Source organism: Homo sapiens, chromosome 5 (assembly GCF_000001405.40).
Source record: "Homo sapiens chromosome 5, GRCh38.p14 Primary Assembly".
Classification (NCBI taxonomy): domain Eukaryota; kingdom Metazoa; phylum Chordata; class Mammalia; order Primates; family Hominidae; genus Homo; species Homo sapiens.
Genome location: NC_000005.10, coordinates 119,472,266 through 119,492,765, shown reverse-complemented (window position 1 = coordinate 119,492,765; position 20,500 = coordinate 119,472,266). Strand labels below are relative to the sequence as shown.

General features: G+C 34.7%; 1 protein-coding gene across 14 annotated transcripts in view, besides 2 other annotated features; it reads right to left on the bottom strand.

The window, feature by feature from the left end:
* The window catches only part of HSD17B4 (hydroxysteroid 17-beta dehydrogenase 4), an 89,836-nt gene that overhangs the window by 49,567 nt on the left and 19,769 nt on the right, over positions 1-20,500 (bottom strand). For 8 of the 14 annotated variants that reach the window (NR_164654.1, NR_164653.1, NM_001199291.3 and 5 more), the window contains 8 exons: positions 18,751-18,858; positions 18,306-18,365; positions 17,039-17,060; positions 16,896-16,942; positions 15,265-15,349; positions 13,745-13,932; positions 3,483-3,574; positions 642-666 (listed from right to left, as the gene is read on the bottom strand). Coding sequence is in view for 12 of the 14 variants with exons in the window: in NM_001199291.3 (NP_001186220.1) it covers positions 642-666; positions 3,483-3,574; positions 13,745-13,932; positions 15,265-15,349; positions 16,896-16,942; positions 17,039-17,060; positions 18,306-18,365; positions 18,751-18,858 (627 nt within the window). In the remaining 2 variants the exon portion in view is untranslated. Of the gene's footprint in view, positions 1-641; positions 667-3,482; positions 3,575-13,744; positions 13,933-14,871; positions 14,969-15,264; positions 15,350-16,895; positions 16,943-17,038; positions 17,061-18,305; positions 18,366-18,745; positions 18,859-20,500 lie in introns of all 14 variants that reach the window. The other 6 variants (NM_001374503.1, NM_001374502.1, NM_001292028.2 and 3 more) reach the window with 4 other exon arrangements.
* Positions 11,359-11,942: an enhancer, noted in NCBI's record as "OCT4-NANOG hESC enhancer chr5:118816519-118817102 (GRCh37/hg19 assembly coordinates)". NCBI's record gives its function as "activates a minimal SCP1, AML or CMV promoter by ChIP-STARR-seq in primed H9 embryonic stem cells {active_cell/tissue: H9 hESC(primed)}" and the evidence as "EXISTENCE:reporter gene assay evidence [ECO:0000049][PMID:30033119]".
* Positions 11,943-12,526: an enhancer, noted in NCBI's record as "OCT4-NANOG hESC enhancer chr5:118815935-118816518 (GRCh37/hg19 assembly coordinates)". NCBI's record gives its function as "activates a minimal SCP1, AML or CMV promoter by ChIP-STARR-seq in naive and primed H9 embryonic stem cells {active_cell/tissue: H9 hESC(naive and primed)}" and the evidence as "EXISTENCE:reporter gene assay evidence [ECO:0000049][PMID:30033119]".

Sequence of the window (20,500 nt, the reverse complement as noted above, 5' to 3'; positions counted from 1 at the left end):
AGCCAAGTAAATTTACTATTTAACTATTTAAAATATTTAATTTAAATAGTTATTTAAAATAACTATTTAAAATAATTTTACTATCTAAAATAACTATTGGGCTAAAGCGGAATAATTCCCATAGATCAGCTGCAATTTCTGTCCCAGTAAGTTGTCCAATGTGATTCCTCACTCCCCTTGACGTCTCCTGCTTCATGGAAGAAAATAATTACATGGGAAAATTGGAGAACTTGCCTGCTGCTCTAGAATAGGCTCAACCCATCTTTTTCCAAAACAGCTCTCCCTCCCACTCACTTCTCTGCTGAAACAGCAAGAACGAGCATGTGGGAAGTCAAAGACATGGGAGGATGATTATCAATATATGCTGTCTGAAGGAATAGCCAGTTCTGAATAAAACAGGACAAGTCCTGAATAAGGACTACCTACAGGAAGAATAGATAGGGTCTTGAAAGGGCCACAGACCTATAGGACAATCACAATGTTTAAAAATACCTGTTGCTATAGCAATGTTTAAGTTTGAATATGCAAGCACTATATCCAATGGTTAGGCATTTGACAAAAATCTTACCCATCTCAACTGGATATGTAGGTTTAAAGATAAGGAAATAATCTATACAAACCAAAAACTGAGAGAGACTTACATTTTCCAATCCATCCTGCTCCAACCTACCAAAAAGAGGGGGAAAACATTATACCATCTAATGTGAAATCACTAATACAATTGTTTTAATTAGAAAAAAGTCAGCTCCTCTACTAGCAGTATTAGAATTCAAGGCAACAGGAGATGAAAATAATACAGCTCTGTAAGAGTCCACTGGCCCCCATGACTTTGCACTGCTCATGTTATCGGAGCACAAACGTAAAACAGTACAATGAAGTAGAAATGCATGTAATAGAAAAGAATGAATCTGATGTCAGAGACCAAGGCTTGATACAAATTTGTCTACTGACTACCCTGGCCAAATTATGTGATCCAAGTTTCCTCAAATGTAAAATAAAAATGACAGTACATATTTCATGTGGTTACCATGAAGCAAACAATATAAATAGTACACTGCCTAGCATATCATGAGATCCAAATAAATGTCCCTCTTGAAGGACCTACTGAATTACAAAGAAAACCAAAGCCAAATAAAATGAGTATTTGACTTAGTGAACTACATATACTCATTTTAATGAAACATCTTTATGCAGAGATAAGACAAATGACCAAATAATAACTGCTACCCAGAAAGATAAATTTTCACTGCTATAATTTTTTCTAGAGGTCATTCAAGAAAAATCCTAAAAAAAAAAAAAAAAAAGTCTGATGAGTCTGATGTAAAGAAAATCTGTTTGTCACTTCAAACACCACAACTACAGTGTACCCAAACTTACCACAAAAATTTCATATGCATATGATAGAAGAAATGTATCAGCAGACATCTTAGTGGCTCTAAGTTCAAGGGTGTGGCTTTTCATCATCCTTTGCCTCTATATTAATATGCCTACACCTTTTATGATACAACCAGTCAGCCTTGATAAAGTTACACTAGACAAATCAGCAGTGGTTTTGATAACAGGCAAAATAACTACCACTTTTTACTGTATTTTGGAAGCGAAGTAATAAGCTACAAGTTCCTCTCAGGTGCTAAAAACAATTGCTCCAGCTGAGCCAAAAAATATTTGTATCTGCCACTCTAGATATCTATCAGAACTTCAAAAAGTGGCAATTTACTTTCAAGGTTTAAGTCAGGATATTATGCACAGCTCTTAGTATAGTTTATCAATCATGCATGCTAAATGTTCCTCACTAAAAATGTTCACAATATAGTAAAAGAAAACAGCAACATAACAAAACTTCATCTGCAGCATTATCCTAATTGTCTGTGTGTTTGGGTGTATAAAACGCCTATCTAGGCCAGGTGCGGTAGCTCACGCCTATAATCCCAGGACTTTGGGAGGCCAAGGCGGGCAGATTATTTGAGGTCAGGAGTTCCAGACCAGCCTGACCAACATGGTGAAACCCATCTCTACTAAAAATACAAAAATTAGCTGGGTTTGGTGGTGGGTGCCTGTAATCCCAGATACTCAGGAGGCTAAGGCAGGAGAATCACTTGAGTCCGGGAGGCGGAGGTTGCAGTGAATGAACCAAGATCACGCCACTGCACTTCAGCCTGGGCAACAGAGAAAGACTCTGCCTCAAAAAAAATAAAAATAAAAAATAAAACACATATCTAATAAAAGACTGGAAGGAAAAACATAAAAATATTCATACTAGTTCTCTCTGGATAGTGATAATGTAGGCAATTTTTATTTTATTTTTTATATGGTCTTATATATTCGAAATTTTCACAAACAGCACATATTATTTTTGTTCACAAAGTTAGTAATAAACATAACTGTAAAAGATAAATAGTTTTTAAAAATTCCTTAATGAGGTAAAAGTAGAGCAGGCAAAATTCTGAATTACAGATGGCTTGAGATTATTAAATTTTCCTCTTCTATAAAACAGAGTTGTAAAGTTCTTTCTACCTCTACTATGCCACAATTCACACCCAATGGCTGTGATTAGGAAAGTGGAGGTGCATATATCTGCTCAGAGATATGCAAACTGTTTTTTTTGTCTTAACTTACCCATCAGCTTTTCATTCAAATGAAATAAGCTAATATATCCCTCACTTTAAATTGAGCCAGGTTTACAACAGGTTCTGTATACAACAGGTTCATTATTACCACAGATAATTTAAAATGGGGGGGGGTCTAATATACAACAGTTTAGGCTAGAAAAAAGAGATCAAACTCAAATGAGTAATCAAAAATATATAAATTGGCTTTAAAAGGTCTAAAAGAACTTTCATCAAAGAGTGAACAATGGATCTCACTGCATGATGGGATTATGTGTGGATAATTATTTTTATAATAAACATTTAAAGCTCTGCAATAAAAAAAACAGAAAAGTTCATTTTTTATGTAAAAATAAATAATGTTATATTTATTGACCTATCACACAAGATTAAATTCCTGCTATACTGATAATTAAAATTGGTGGTTGAGTGCTATGTATTAGGCCTTATGCCAAGGGTTTAAAATATGACTTGTAGTTGTCACAAGAAAGCCCCAGAAAACTAAAGCTCACGAAGGTCAAATCTGCAATTCCCAGAATAAGAATTCAAAATCTGGCCTGGTTGACTCTAAACTCCAAGCTTCATCTTTCCACCTTATCATTCAGCTTCTTAAATAATGAAATTCCCCACATTTTGACCGAACAGATCAAACCAGCCACATTTTCATTTGGTAGGAATGTTACAAATGTAGAACTAAGTAAAAACAGAATTTATAAAGTTACTATTACTTTCCAAAAAATGGATATTAGTCAACACTTTTAATTATAACATAGACACAATATTTAAAAATATACAAGTGATGTCCACTGGTACAGATTTTTACAAATGTAAGCAACTGGAGAAAACTAATAAGAGAAAACAGGAAGGTGCAAATACCTCAAACAAGCCACCATTCTCCTCACAACTCTCGTGACAAAGCCAAAGGACAAGAGGTGCCACATACTCTGGCTTCAGGGCTTCCACAAGATCTGAAATAAAGAATATACACATATCTTATCAATCATTTTACTTTCTAAGAATTTCTTACTTATAAAATTATAGGTAATTCAGAGACCTTTAAAATAGGAACAAAATTAGTATGTATATAACTAGTCTAACATTTAAGTCTTTGCGAAGAACTTTTTGTAATCTCAACTGAGCCATTTCTAAAGGGCTCTCAAGCTTCTAAAATTGTAAGTATCAGACACACCTTTCCAAGATGAGTAACATATTAATACTGTTCAGAAGAAGAAAAGTTAGAACTGCCTAGACAAAGATTGGTGAGCAAAACTGTATTTAACATGAGAAATCTGGGTACCATTCATTCCCAAAATTATTCTACTCTCCCAGCTATTAACAACAATCTAGAAAATCACAAAACAGCCTAGACCATTACAGTGGCAAATAATGATTGAGAGTGCTGAATCCTAACCACTAGACCACCAGGGTAGGCAGATAATGATTGAAATAGACCTTGAAGACATCACTGGTGAGTGCACAAAGTATAAGAACTAATTTCCCACTGCATATGTTACCTTTTGAACTTTTTAAAAATTAATATATAATAGTTGTACATATTTTGAAGGTGCATGTGATATTTTGATACCTTATACAATGTGTAACGACCAAATCAGGGTAACTGGTATATCCATCAACTCAAACATTTATCTTGTCTTTGTGTTGAGAACATTATAAATCTTCTCTTCTAGCTATTTTGAAATACACAATAAATTATAGTTATCTATAATTTCTCTATTGTACTATCAAATACTAGAATTTATTCCTTCTATCTAAGCTTACTTTCGTAGCCCTTAGCCAACTTCTCTTTACCACTGCACCTTTTCTGTGAGTACCTTGGTGAAGCAGAAAGGTACTACATGAAGAACATGAAGACTTTGATTTTGGTACTGAACCTGCTATGCAAGCAACTTAGGAACCTGAGCCCATCATTCAACTTCCCTGGGCCTGTATCTTCATCAGTAAGCTAGTAATTTAAATGCTTCTGCTTCCTATTCCACCAAGTTGTTCCAAGGCTCAAATGAGATACAATTTGTGTCTTACAAATCATACAATTTTATCTAAAAGATCAAATAAATGCAAAAATTGTGAAATGACAAAATACAATTTTGTATTAATGTGTTAAAGTAAAAAAGATGGTGTATATAGTCCTGTAAATTAAAAAGTAGTTGCAAAAACTCTTCACTTTATAGCCTCTAAAAGCTCTCAAAAGTACACAAGCATTCCAATGGCACCCTGTCTTCCATTTTTCATTATATGCACGAGGAAAAAACAAAAGGAAGACTCCAACCATCTCAAATTGTACATTAAAACAAATTATTAACTTAAATATCCATTCATCTCAATACATAACATTCCTCTAATTTCCCATACATCAATTGACAAAACTAAATGTTAAAGGATATTTATGTACAGGGATTTGGATATTTGAGTTGGCTAACTTCAAACTGAATGAGAAATAAACATATCTATAAAATGCAACAGAGTATCTATTACCTTACGTGAGAAAAAAGAAAAGAACATAAGCCACATACAAAAAAATACGTCTGCCTTGCAGTTTATTTTATATATTATCACTAATAATATAAGCAAATATTCTTGCTTTCCAGTTCATTCTCAAACTCCTAGGTTAGCCAGCATCTATTAAACTCAATGTTATAAATAAAAAACCAACCTTAAGAGAGTAAATAAAAGATCAGAGAAGTCCCATAGCTATTAAGATATAAAGTTATATGAAATCAAAAATAGAAAGGTTTACTTACTCAACCCAGTGTTTCTTCCACAATACTAGATGTCAGGATATCTAGCATTACAGTGAGCCAAGTACTCTGAGGAATACTTCTGCTTCCAGAAATGAGATTCTTTTAAAGCATTACTGAGATAAAGAAGGTATCCTCCAACCAGAAAAAAAAAAAAAAAAAATAGAAAAGAGTCCCTAGTGCTACATGCTACAGGGAAGGCAGGGTTGCCCTGAGAATGATACAAATAACAATACTGATACCTAGGTACTCAGAGATAGGCCAGCATCAAGATGGGGTCCTAAACCTAAACTGTTCTACGCTGAACTTCAACTTTTAAGGAAGACTGAAGCAGAACAAAATTGGCTATGCTTCCTGGTAATCAGCAGTAGCAAAGACAGATCCTCTCTGAAGAAAACATTGCCAATTTAGAACACAGAACAAATACAGAAAAAGATCAGGTAAAGAGCTGGTAATTAGAAATCACCAAGCACACAATGAAGGGAAGCCACTATGAGTAAAAGTTAAAAGAAACAGCAGATTTGAACTACAATGGAATAGAAATGTTGGAATTTAAAATATATTATAAAGAAAAGTTAACTATTGATTAGCATTTGTACCCTTCCTGACTCAACAATTTTACTTTGAAGTACATATCCTAGAAAAATTCTTGTTCTTGTAATCCAGAACACATGTACAAGAATAAAAGCAGATTAATTAAAAAGCAACCGATATGTTCATTAATAATAATTAAGTAAATTCACATAACAGTCTTGCAGCAATATAATCGAATGAGCTACAGCTTTATATAAATCTTAGAGCCCTAAAATTGCATGGAAAGACAAAGTACAATTCCCCCAAATTTTTTTAAATGACAAATGTCATAAAGATCAAAAACAAGAAAACCAAACAATAAAGTGTTTATTCATGCAATTTTTATTAAAAAAAATTAAAGGTAAGGGAATGAATATTCTCTTTAAGTGATTACCTCCTGGGGGAAGAAATGGGGTGAGGTAAAAAGGTAACAAAAATAGACACAAGTTATGGAAATGCTCCAGTTTGGGGGCTGCATGACAGCAAGTCATCAAGATGACCTCCAATGACCCCCATGTCCTTTAATTTATCCCTTTTTGTAGTCCTTTTTCACAGTGTACCAAGGCTAGTCTGTGTGATCAACAGGATAGGACAAACGTGATGGTACATCTCTTCTGAAGTAAGTTATAAAAGACACTGCAGCTTCTGTCTTGGTGACCCTCTCTTTCAAATCGTTAGCTCTGGGGAAAGCCAGCTGCCATGTCAAGAGCAGTCCTATGGAAAAGCCACATGGTGAGAAACTGAGGCCTCCTGACAACAGGTAGGAAGGAACGGAGGCCTCTTGGCAACTGCCATGTGCACAAATGAGCTTGGAAGTAAATCCTCCAAGCCAAGCTTTCAAATGACTTCAGTGCCAGCAAACATCTTAATTAAAACATCATTAAAGACCTAGAAGCAGAACCTCCTAGCCAGGCTAAATTCCTGACCCCAGAAATTGAGTGAGATAATAAATGTTTGCTGTTTTAATCCACTAAGTTTTAGAGTAGTTTACTGCAGAGCAGTAAATAACTAATACAGCTTGGAAAGTTAGTTCCTGGATACTCATTATAGGGTTTTATTTTATTTCATGTAAGAAACATGTAAGTTATACACATTATTTTTCACGTATCAAGTGTATTTCAAAGGGGAAATGAAATAGCAAAAATGTCTCCACACATTACTCATAATATCTGGTTCTTTAACAAATAATTCCTTTAATTGCCCATAAGGAAATATTTTAGAGGAGGAGAAGAAAAGCTTCAGATCAAAATAAATTTTCAGATATTCTAAACTATAAAAGAGTAAGAAAAAAGCAGAATAAAAATAATGGAATTTTAGGACTAGAAATAATAGTCCCAAAATTAAAGGAAATTTAAAAATGATCTATAACTTTCTTACTTTGTGGAAGAGAAAACAGATCCAGAAAGATTAAGTCATTTGTCTAAAGTAGACTTTATTTTCTAAACTTCTTTTACTAGAGCATGGTAGGCATAAAGGATTAAACATTTACCTAATGCCTTTAGTGGTCCAGATCTGTTCAAATAAATGATACCATATTCCCAAAGAAAAACAAATTTAAAATCTGAAGTTTTAAGTACTTTCTTGAAAACGTACGGCTTCCCAAAAAGTCTAGAACCGATGGCAAAAAGTGACTAAAGGTAAAAATCTAACAAAGGGATGATCAGCACAAATTCTAACTAGTGGTTTGTCTCTTGGTATGAAGCAGGGGGGTAGAAAGAAGGTACAAAGTTAGATGCAAGTTATTGGCAATGTTCCAATTCTTGGGTTGAGAAGTGAGTTCATGAATATTCATTACATTTTCATGCTTTATTTCTTATCTATAACCTATACTGTTTTGTGTCTATATAGTATCATACTTGAAACAAATAAATTATATATCTTTCACATAATATGATTCTTCAACAAGAATTCCTTTGACACGACTATGAGAACATAAAGAGTTTTTAAAGAATAAGAGGCTTTAAAAATGGCTCTGCTGTCAAGGAAACAGGGGAAAAAATTAGATCTCAGGTCCAAATAGGTATTCTACACTAAAGAAAATTGGTTAGACACAGCTCTTGGCAAAGACTGCAAAGTACTGCTGTAGTATTACAAATCCCAAGTTCTAAAATGAATGTTAGTTCAAATGTGGAAAATATATGGTACCATAAGTATTTGTGTTCCATGGAGTAGCTTATTTTAAAATAATTTCATCAATTATTTTGTACCTTTTCACAGAAGCTACTTTTAAAGTATTATGTAGATTTTCTTTTCAGAAATATATAAAAACCAAGAGTACCAAAAGCCACAGTTCTCCATAGTCAACTATTATATATATATTGCATAAGTAAATAAAGGTAGGCTCTCAATTATCCATTCAAATGTTTAAAGAAAGTGGAAAGACTCACACTATCTCATTCCAAGACTTAATATAAAACTAGAGTAATCAAAACATCATAATATTGCTGAAAGGACAGGCACACAGATCAATGGAATAGAACAGAGAAGCCAGAAATAGACCCAGGTGTAAGCAGTCGATTGATTTTCCACAAAGGTGAAAAGGCAACCCAAATCAAGAATGAGGAATAGTCTATAGAACAAAAGAATTAGATTCTTGAATAAACGAACAGCTTTTTTTCTTTTTAAGGGAGGGTCTCAGTCCATTACCCAGGCTGGAGTGCAGAGGTGCAACCGTAGCTCACTGTAGCCTCGAATTGCTGGGCTCAAGCAATCCTTTCACCTCAGCCTTCCAAGTAGCTGTGACCACAGGCACAAACCACCCTGTCCAGCTTGACTTTTTTTAAAAAAAGAGAAGATGAACTATTATGTTTTAAAGGAAACTTAAGAGCTATAACAACAAAAATGTCTGTGGACCTTGTTTGGATCCTTAGTGGAATAAACCAACTCGAAAAATATCTCTTTCTAGACAACTAGAAAATTTTAATATGAATTTGGTAGGTAATATTAGCAAGTTATTTTGTTTGGTTGTGATAATGGCATTATGGTTACAATGTCCATATCTGTTAGATATTCATTTCCAAGTGTTCATTAGATAAAATATAATGTCTAGGATTTACTTTGAAATAATGCAGAAGAAAAGGGAGAAGGTGATCAAAAAATGAAACAAAATTGGCTGTTGACCATTTGCTGAAGCTGAACGATGGGTACAAACAGTTCTTAACTTTCTTTACTCTTATGTATATTGGAAAGCTACACAAAAAAGTCTTTCCTTTTACACAAAGAAACTATGACCATAAAAAGCATTTTTTAAAATTATGGAACATGAATAAGGTAAAATACAATGCAACCATTAAAAGATACCCTGCACTATTTTATTAAATGGGAAAATGTTCATGATATGGGAAAAGATAATAATAATTAGACTTCCAGTTTGCACTCCAACATAAAAAGAGCTTGGAAGTTGTTACTTCCATCCTCAAACCAAGATAAAAGCTTAACAAGCTAAAAATCAACAACTCTGCTTATCAGCACCAGAGAATTCAGGTCACAGGGCAAACCACCATCAGGAAAACTGGAGACACAGGCAAATTCAGAAAACCCAGCTTACTGAGATAGAAGCCCCCAGAGCCCAAGCAGTTAGAACACTTAAACAGTAACCGACAAATTGCTAGAGGCTGAATGTGGACTTGTTTCATCTTAGGAGGGCCCAATCTTAGGAGGAGACTCCAACACTTTTATAAGTTTTACCTCCAGAATTTCCCATCACACAGTGAAGATCAGAGAAAAATCCCCTCATGCTTTGGACAAGACAAGGGGGAAGAAACCATTTTGAAATATGCCCAGAGTATTCTGTTCTACTTAAGGCCTGCTCTGAAGAGAAACTACTTTACCAGAGCCTTGTCTGACCTAGGGGAAGAGTGATTAGACAGTTGGAACTTCTCTAGCTTTCCCATCTCAAATAAGGGAAGGAAAAGAAAAAAAGAAAAAAAAAAAGGCTAAAAAAGTCTTCTGAAGGTCCCAACCCAGGACTCTGACCCACTCAAAAAATGGAGATTTAATAATAAGGGTACAGAACACTTCCCCTCCCCAATACCTTACCACTCCATCAACAGGGCTCCAGTATAATAACAATTACAAGTGAGAGCTGCAAGATACAAACTCTACTTAACAAAGAGTTTCTAAGGAAACTCAAAGACAACAGAGTATAAAAAAACAAGAACAGAGAGGAAACAGAAGCCTGTGATACCCATAGCTATAGTAAATAATAAACACGGCCTAACTCCTAACGAGATAAACATAAAACCTCACACTAAAAGCCTATTAATCTCACTTGCTATTATTACTCAATAGTATTATTTTTTACTTTCAACAAAAAAATTGCAACCCATGTTAAAAGGCAAGAAAAAGCACAGGCTAAAGAGACAAACATTAGAACCAGATTCATATATGGCAGAGATTTGGAGAGTACCAGACAAGGAATTTAAAATAACTATGATTACTGTGCTTAGGGCTCTAATGGAAAAAGTGGATAATACACAAGAACAGATGGTTACTTTAAGCAGAGAGATAAAACTCTAAAAAAAATTAAAAGAAAATGCTAGAAATCAAAACCATCGTAAAAGAAATGAAGAAAAAATCAGTGACCTTGAAGATATGTCAATACAAACTTCCTGCACGGAAACGCAAAAAAAGAATGAGAAAAATGGAACAGAATATCTAAGAACTGTGGGACAATTACAGAAGATGTAACATGCATACAATGAGAACCCGAGAAGAAGAAAAAGAGAATAAGCAGAAGTATTTGAAGGAGTGATGGCTGAGAATGTTCTAAAATTAATGACAGACACCAAACCACAGGAATCTCAGAGGACACCAGGCAGCATAAATATCAAAAATCTCCACCTAAATACATCATACGCAAACTGCAGAAAACCAAAGATAAGGAGAAAATCTTGGAAGAAGACAGAGGGGGAAAAAAAATGCCTTACCTATAGAGGAATAAGGATAAGAATTATGTCACACTTCCTTTCTGAAACCATGTAACCAAGAGGAAAGTGATGTGAAATACAGGCATATCTCATTTTATTATATTCCACTTTATCATGCTATGCAAATATTGCGTTTTTCACAAATTGAAGGTTTGTGGCAACTCTACATCAGGCAAGTCTATCAGTGTCATTTTTCCAACAGCATGTGCTCACTCCATTTATCCATACTGGCATTTTTTAACAATGAAGTGGTTTTTAATTAAGGCATGTATATGGTTTAGATCTACACATAATGCTATTGCACATCTAATAAACTACAGCATAGTGTAAATATAACTTTTACATGCACTGAGAAACCAAAAAATTTATATGACTTGCTTTATTGCAATCTTAGCTTTATTGTGGTGATCTACAATCAAACCTGCAACATCTCCAAGATATGCCTGTATTTAAAGTGTTGAAAGAAAAAAGCCACCAACAGAGAATTCTGTATCCAACGAACTTATCCTTCAAAAGTAAAGGAGATTAAGAGAATAGAAAGACAAGGTGTTGAGGGAAGTCAGGGACCCCAAACAGAGAGACCGGCTGAAACCATGGCAGAAGAACGTGAATTGTGAAGATTTTATGGACATTTATTAGTTCCCCAAATTAATACTTTTGTAATTTCTTATGCCTGTCTTTACTGCAATCTCTAAACATAAATTGTAAAGATTTCATGGACACTTATCACTTCCCCAGTCAATACCCTTATGATTTCCTATGCCTGTCTTTACTTTAATCTCTTAATCCTGTCAGCCGAGGAGGATGTATGTCGCCTCAGGACTATGTGATAATTGCATTAACTGCACCAATTGTACAGCATGTGTGTTTGTGCAATATGAAATCTGAGCACCTTGAAAAAAGAACAGGATAACAGCAATTGTTCGGGGAATAAGAGAGATAACCTTAAACTCTGACCGCTGGTGAGCCGAGCAGAACAGAGCCATTATTTCTCTTCTTTCAAAAGCAAATGGGAGAAATATTGCTGAATTCTTTTTCTCAGCATGGAACGTCCCTGAGAAAGAGAATGCGCACCTAGGGGTAGGTCTCTGAACTGGCCCCCCCGGGGCGTACCTGTCTCTTACGGTTGAGACTGCAGGGGTGAAATAAACTCCAGTCTCCCATAGCGCTCCCAGGCTTATTAGGAAGAGGAAATTCCCACCTAATAAATTTTGGTCAGACCGGTTGATCTCAAAACCCTGTCTCCTGATAAGATATTATCAATGACAATGGTGCCCAAAACTTCATTAGCAATTTTAATTTCGCCTCAGTCCTGTGGTCCTGTGATCTCGCCCTGCCTCCACTTGCCTTGTGATATTCTATTACCCTGTTAAGTACTTGATGTCTGTCACCCACACCTATTCACACACTCCCTCCCCTTTTGAAAATCCCTAATAAAAACTTGCTGGTTTTTGTGGCTTGTGGGGCATCACAGATCCTACCAATGTGTGATGTCTCCCCTGGACACCCAGCTTTAAAATTTCTCTCTTTTGTACTCTGTCCCTTTATTTCTCAAGCCAGCCGATGCTTAGGAAAATAGAAAAGAACCTACGTAATTATCGGGGCAGGACCCCGATAACAAGCCACAGACTGAAAAAAAAATTTCTAAAACATATATCTGATAAAGGACTTGTTTCTAAAATATACAAAGAACCCTTAAAATTCAAGAAAACAAACAATCCAATTTAAAAATGGGTGAAAGATGTGAATAGACATCTCAACAAAAAAGACAAATAAATGCCAAATAAGCATAGGAAAAAAATGTTCAATAACATATGTCACTAGGTAAGTGCAAATTAAAACAATAAGATATCACTACATATCTATTAGAAAACCTAAAATCCAAAATACTGACAATAAAAAATGCTGGCGAGGATGTGAAGCAACAAGAACTCTCATTAATTGCTGGTGGGAATGCAAAATGATACAATCATTTTGGAAGATAGTTTGGCAATTTCTTACAAAGCTAAACCTAGTCTTATCATAGCATCCATCCAGCAATCACACTCCATGGTATTTACACGACTTAAAAACTTATGTCCACACAAAAACCTGCACATGAATGCTTATGGCAGCTTTATTAATAAGTGCCAAAAACTGGAAGCAACCAAGATCTCCCCCAATAGGTGTATGAATAAACAAATTGTAGTACATTCATACCACGGAATATTACTGAAAAATAAAAAGAAATGAGCTTCAATCCCTGAGAATTCAGGAAGAAAAGGGGAGAGACAAACAGGTGAAGCACAGGGGATTTTTAGGGCAGTAAAACCATTCTGCATGACATTATAACAGTGGATACATAACTTTATGCATTTGTGAAAACCCATACATTTGTACAACACAAAGGGTGAATCCCAGTGTAAACGACGAACTTTAGCTTATCATAACGGCTCCATACTGGTTCATCAATTGTAATAAATATACCACTCTGACCAAAGATGTTAATAACAGGGGAAACTGTGGGAGGTAAAGTATAGAAGAATTCTCTGTACAATTTTTCTGTAAATCTAGAACTGCTCTAAAAAATAATGTATTTTTACAATAATTATTATGAAACAGGAAGAATATTACCCCATTGTGTAAAACAAAAAAAAAATTATGAATATGCAGAGAAAAAGAATGAAAGTTTTTATCGATGTGGTAGAATTATGGGTCATTTTTTATTTTTTCCTTTGTGCTTTTCTAAATTTTCCACAATGAACACAATTTACAGATAATGCTTTCGAAATTGAAAAAAATAATAATTTTTAAGTATTCAGAAAATTAAATACTTTTGTAAAGCTCATTCCACATAGGTTTGTAAGTAACAGCACTGAAAAATATAAGCTTGCTTACTTACCTTCAGGCATAACTGTCTGAGTCATCCGTGATCCCGCATTAGGAGCAATGGTGTTACAATGAATGTTGCTTTTCCTGCCTTCAATTGCAAGAGAATTTGCAAGGCCCAGAAGACCCAACTTTGCAGCACTATAATTGGCCTGGCCAAAGTTGCCATATATTCCTGAAGCTGATGAAGTCATAATAATCCTAAAAAGAAAATCAATCTCTCAATATCATCTTTTCCATAATTTGATAACATTGCAACTCTAACTCTGTTTTGGTACTACTGCACCTATCAAAAGCAACTATGTGTACTGTCATTAGCTTCTTACGATCATGATTTATGTAACTAAAATAATATTAATATATAAGTAATCTCTCAAAATTCAACTACAAGATTTAACTGTTTTAAAAAGATTCTCTGGCCAGAACCAAATGATCTTAGACTTATGCTTTACAACCATAAAATAACCTGGTAACATGTAAGTTAAAATTTTAGCAAGAAATATTAAATCGAACAGTTCTAATTTTTCAGTCCTCATCACTTTGCCTCTCTCCCTTTCTGAATAATATTAAATGCCTCATTAAAACAATGCCATCTCAAAATCTGACCCAACCTCACTCACTCTACTTAGGCTAAGTAAAATAAATCATATTATTTATTTTCAGAAACTGTCAGGACCAGGATAAACTAGAAATCTCCAACAAAAACAGGCATCACAAGCAATTTGCTTCTATTAGGTATGTATGAATCCTAAATTAACAGGAATGACCTCAGCACTAGAGTGCAACAGAGGACATGGACTAAAGCATACTAGCACTGCCACAATGAGTTACTTATCTAGGAGCAATCATGAGGGGTCCTACAGTTCCTAAACAGTTTATAAAGACTAACTCACGTCTGACTAGCACCAGCCAGCAGGGACTAGCCATTCATCTCTCCCCAGCTGGTAAGACATGAAATAATATTCGGGTTACAGAATAAGGTATAACCGAATCCTCAATGTGTATACTATCTTCTAAAATGCCAGAAACTAAGGCAGGAAGATTACTTGGGCCCAAGAGTTTGAGACCAGCCTGGGCAACAAAACGAGATACTGTCTCTACCAAAAAATTAAAAAACTTGCCAGGCATGGTGACACATACCTGCAGTCCCAGCTACTTGGGAGGCTGAGGTGGGAGGACTGCTTGAGCCCAGGAGGTAAGGCTACAGTGAGCCATGTTCATGCCACTGTACTCCAGCCTGGACAAGAATGAAACTATGTCTCAAAATAAAATAAAAATTGCCAGAGAGCAGCAAGAAAATCTTTAATAACAAAAAGAGGTAAAAAATAAATATAAAGCTTTCCAGCTCAGCCAATCTGTGACTAAATTATACCAATTTAATGAGGGTATGTGCCAAAACCATATGTTAAAAGGTTGTACATATTCCTCAATGTCATAAATCATTTCACAACACTTCACATAATCTTTCCCTGTACACAAGAACCCCCAGACACAACATCTTAAATCCCCCTTGACAACCACATGCAACTCTACCTTCCATACTTCTGTTTCTTCATGTGTTCCCATGCTGCCCGTGTCACTTGGAATGAACCCCGCAAATGAACTCTGTGGATTATATCTAAAACAATAAATTATTTTTATTAAATATTTTGTAAAAACTTAGGCATGTCTAAGAATCAACATAAGCAATGTTGTATTTATACAAAGATGTTCATTTTATACCTAATGTATAAAATTGCCTACTGTCACACCCCAATGAGTATTTTGCCTTTATTCCAGTTATGCTACTAATCAATACTTCACACTTAGAACTACAACAGCTCTCCTCATAATTTGTAAAATTAATGTAATGCCTATACACATCTAAATATAATGCTACGCCCTTATTTTATGCCTACTTCATATAAAAATTTTGCTAATATAAAATCCAAGATTTTTATAAATATAACTGGCACCCAACACTAACATCAGTTAAGGCATAATCATAAATCACATAGCTCATTAAGAAATATTTACAAAATACTCACTAGATCCCTATTGTTACCATTTGCAAATGAGTTAGTGAGAGGCCTGTTTTCACAAATTTCAATCTAACGAACAGACCACTTATGAAACATTCAGACAGACAATTCTAGATTTTAATTGTCAAGTTTTTTAAGCATTCTTACTTATTTTTGGTAAAACAAATGTTTTCATGTGTATATTAGAAGAAGAATGTAAGAGTGAAAAAAGGAACTAAAAAAAAGAAAGAGAGGGAGAAGGGTAGTCAGGAGTAGTGGCTTAGTAGGATGGAATCAGAGAAGGAAATACCTCAGTCCCGTTGCAGCACCAAGAAAAGCACCAACATAGGCCCCCTTTGCCAGCAAATCCTATCTTTCTCAGCTTCTTTTTTACCCCAGTTGTTACAAGGGAAGCAGAAACTAAAAGCTCTTCTTAGCTTAATTCTAAATCAAAGACACTAACTCTTCTTCCAAAAGACAGTCAGGCACTATTCCCCCAAAACACACTCTATAAACAATGATACAATTGTTTCACCTCAGTTGCCATGCTTCCCTCTGTCTCAGCCACCACTGTTCATTTTAGTTCTGATGGCCAATGAAAGTAAGCACAAAGAGGAGCAAAAGAAAAAAAAAATTCTTAACTGTGATTTGTTCATTATCTAAACTCAATCTTTCCAATTCAGAAAGAATGGAAAACTTTCCTATTTACTAGAAGCTTCAAAATTATATCCAGGTTTTGTCCTAACCTGTTCTAAAATCTCCATCATTTTTAGTGCACTAGACTCCCTTAAATATCCTGCTCCTGTTCTTGAAAAAGATTCACACAGCTGGATAAGCACGTTAAAGGCTGTTAAGAGTTAATACCTCTAGAAAATGCTGACAACCTCTTAAGGAGAAAAAAAGGGGAGAGGGAAACCTGAAGAAATAAAATCCTTTTAGATATCTTCTAAACAAATGATTTAACATTTTTTAAAAGTATTAAATGTTTTCTAAAAGAGGCTACTTCTAACTATTCATTGTCTTCAGTATACAGTTTACTCATCATTTATATTAGCAGCAAAAGTAGATAGAAGCAGGTTTTTCCTTAAATGTATAAATTTATCAAATACTAAAAAGGCTAAATGGATAAGTATGTTCCCCAGAGAAATACTAAAAACAACTTACCCCAGTCTTCATCACTTATCCTAGCAAAGGAACGATCCCTCAGAATTCTAAAAAATCAATGTTGTATAGGGTAAAAGGAGGAAAGTATATACTTTTTAAAAAAATTATACACACATCACTAAAAATGAAAAAGAAATACTCACCCAGCATTGTTGACCACAACATCTACAATATAAAAAGATACAAGTTACATCTAAAAGCAAGCATATTAGTTTGCATTTGCTTACAACTCACATTTCTCTCAAAACTGGCGTTTTTTAACCATGAAAAAGTAAATATAATAGGTAAAGAGTGCTTTCAAAACAAAAGTCTATACCTATATCAAAAAAAGTTGACTCACAAAAGCCTAAGTATCACATTATATCAAGCACCTTCCTCTCAAACTAACATCTATAAATTTTCCCACCTCTCTATCAAAATTCTATCCACTTAATTATAGAATTAGCCATTTTACAACTCTTAGGTTCTAAGGAATCAGAACCATAAGCCATTCTACACTTAACCTCAAAATTCACTTAGCAAGTTAAAGTTACATTTTTCCCTTGCCACTCAAAAGTAAAAAGTCCAAAAAGAAAACCATTAGAGTTACAAACTGATGCCTTATCTTGATACATAATTATTTTCTCACTATGAAAGAAAATAATTATTTTTTAAGGTTCAACCCTCTTGTGGCTATTTTCACCCTATGATTTCACATTTTTGTGGTTTCTATCCCTGTCAGACGATATGTGAACATGGTTCTTATGAGTTCAATCAAACAAAATTAGAAAAATAAGTGTAATAGACCAAACAAAAAAGGGAGAGCACATTCAATTAAGAATAAGTAATGTTTTTCAGATTGTAAACATGTTGGGCTTATGTTCCGTGATGTCTCCATCTAGTAGTTAAATAATCTTTTATTAAGAGTGTGTGGGACTAAACTGGGAAGATTAGCTACAGAAATAACAAACTCAACAATTTATTTGAAATACTTCTTAAAAATTAAGATTTTTATTATAGAGAAATCATCTTAAGTAATTTGCAAGATATTGGATTATTTTAATCCAAATTATTATAATTATCCAAAAGAATCCACTGGGTACTCTATTGCCAAAATATTGGTTTATTTTTTAATCTTATAAACATCTTTGAGGTTTAACTGAATTATTTTAAAAAGGGCACTGAGTAAACGCTCGTAAGTTTTTTAAAGCACTTAAGGTGCAAAAAAACAAACTCAACACTATATCCATAAAATTGCCACCTCAATTAAACCCTTTATGAAATAAGTACAATAATTAACTTATAAATCAAATTTTAAAATGTGATTATGAGGAAAGAGGTATCTGTTTAGTAAATGAAAGTCAACTTAAAAATATTTCATTAGGAAGGTAGAAGTTGCTCCACAAGAGCCATAACACAAAGAAACATCACCTATTCTTCCAAAAGCATCCAGGGCTGTCTTCACAACCTTCTCTCCTTCTTCCACTGAATCTGAGGGAAAGGAAAATTTGTATGAAATTTCGGCAACCTCCCTTCCAAAGGACTTCTAAATTCTGTGGGTCAGAGTACACGACAAATACTATTCACCCAACAGAACTCAGAAGAACATATCCATATCTACAATAATTTACTAATTATATCATGTGCTCACTAATAAAAATAGTAAACAATAGAACAAAGCTTAGAATCATGAAATAGTCTACATCAAAAGTTTTAACAATTCTCACATATATAAAATATGTAGTCAGAAAACTTTGGCAGACTTAGAAAATCATAATTATACTGGAATACTGAGATATTTGCTCAAAGATTATTAATGTGACAAATAGCATTAGTTGAAGGAAAATAAATAGTATAGTTCTCTCAAATACCATACCATAGTTGGCCACTGCTTTTCCACCTCTCCTTCTTATTTCTTCAACAACCTTATCAGCAGCTAAGGAGCCTTTACCAACTCCTTTGAAGTCCCCTCCCAAATCATTCACTGTAATGCAAAAACAAGCAAACAACAATTAATTATTCTAGACTTTCAAAATGTGTGTGTGTGTGTGTGGAAAATGAAATTCTAATTACTAGCACATCTCTTCAGTCATCTGCCCAGTTCCTTCCTACCCTATCCCATCTTACTAAACACAACACAGCCATTTTCAAAACATTCCTCTTCATTTTTGAATACAGACATAAAGAAACAGCAAAACTATTTAAATACAGGTTGTTCTCATGAAATTTTTAACTGTGCAGTGTTTTTCCTCTTTCAAAAAGTAAAGAAGACTGGGCATGGTGGCTTATACCCGTAATTCCACCACTTTGAGAGGCTAAGGTGGGAGGACTACCTGAGCTCAGGAGTCTAAGACCACCAGCCTGGGCAACATAGCAAGATTTCATCTCTACTAAAAACCAAAATAATTAGCTGGGCATTATGGCATGTATCTGTAGTCCCAGCTACTTGGGAGGCTGAGGTGGGAGGATTGCTTGAACCTGGGAAATCAAGGCTGCAGTGAGCTATGATCATGCCACTGCACTCCAGCCTGGGCAACAGAGCAAGACCCTTTCCAGGAAAAAAAAAAAAAAAAAAAAGGAGCAGGGAAGAAAAGTAAAAAAAAAAAAAAAAAAAAAAAGATTCATCCACTTTTCAGCAAAAGAAAAGAAAAAATGTGAAAATCGCTTTAAGATTAAATACACAGGAAAACAAAACTACTATAAGATCGATCAATCCTACTTCCACATCTTTATCCAAAAGAACTGAAATCAGAAGAAAAACTGACTTGAAATTCTCTTCAAATAACAAAGGATATTAGCACTCCAATGTTCACTGCAACACAATTCACAATAGCTAAGATGTGGAAACAACCTAAATGTCCATGGATAGGTGAATGAATAAAGAAAATGGGGTATATACAAGCAATGAAACGTAATTCTGCATTTAAAAAGAATAAAATACTGCAATATGTGATAATATGAATAAACTCTGAAGACACTATGTTAAACGAAATAAGTGAGTCACAAAAGGACAAATACTGGCATGATTCCACTTATGTGCGGTATCTAAAATATCAAAACTCATAGAATCACAAAATAGAATGATGGTTGCCAGGAACTAGTGAGATGCTGGAAATGGAGAGTTGATAACCAATGGGTATAAAGTACCAATTACGTTGGGCCGGGCGCGGTGGCTCATGCGTGTAATCCCAACACTTTGGGAGGTCGAGGCGGGTGGATCACCTGAGGTCAGGAATTCAAGACCAGCCTGGCCAACATGGTGAAACCCCGTCTCTACTAAAAATCCAAAAATTAGCTGGGCGTGATGATGCACACCTGTAATCCCAGCTACTCGGGAGGCTGAGGCAGGAGAATCGCTTGAACCCAGAAGGCAAAGGTTGCAGTGAACTGAGATCGTGCCACTGCACTCCAGCCTGGGCAGCAGAGTGGAAACTCTGTCTCAAAAAAAAAAAAAATTTCAATTATGCAAGATAAATAAGTTCTAGAGATCGGCTATACAACATACCTATAACAATACTATATTGTACACTTAAAACCTTGTGAAGAGGATAGATGTCATAAGTATTCTTACCACAATAAAAAAGTTTTTAAAGATTAAGCACACAATGTTGAAATATCTTCTCCAT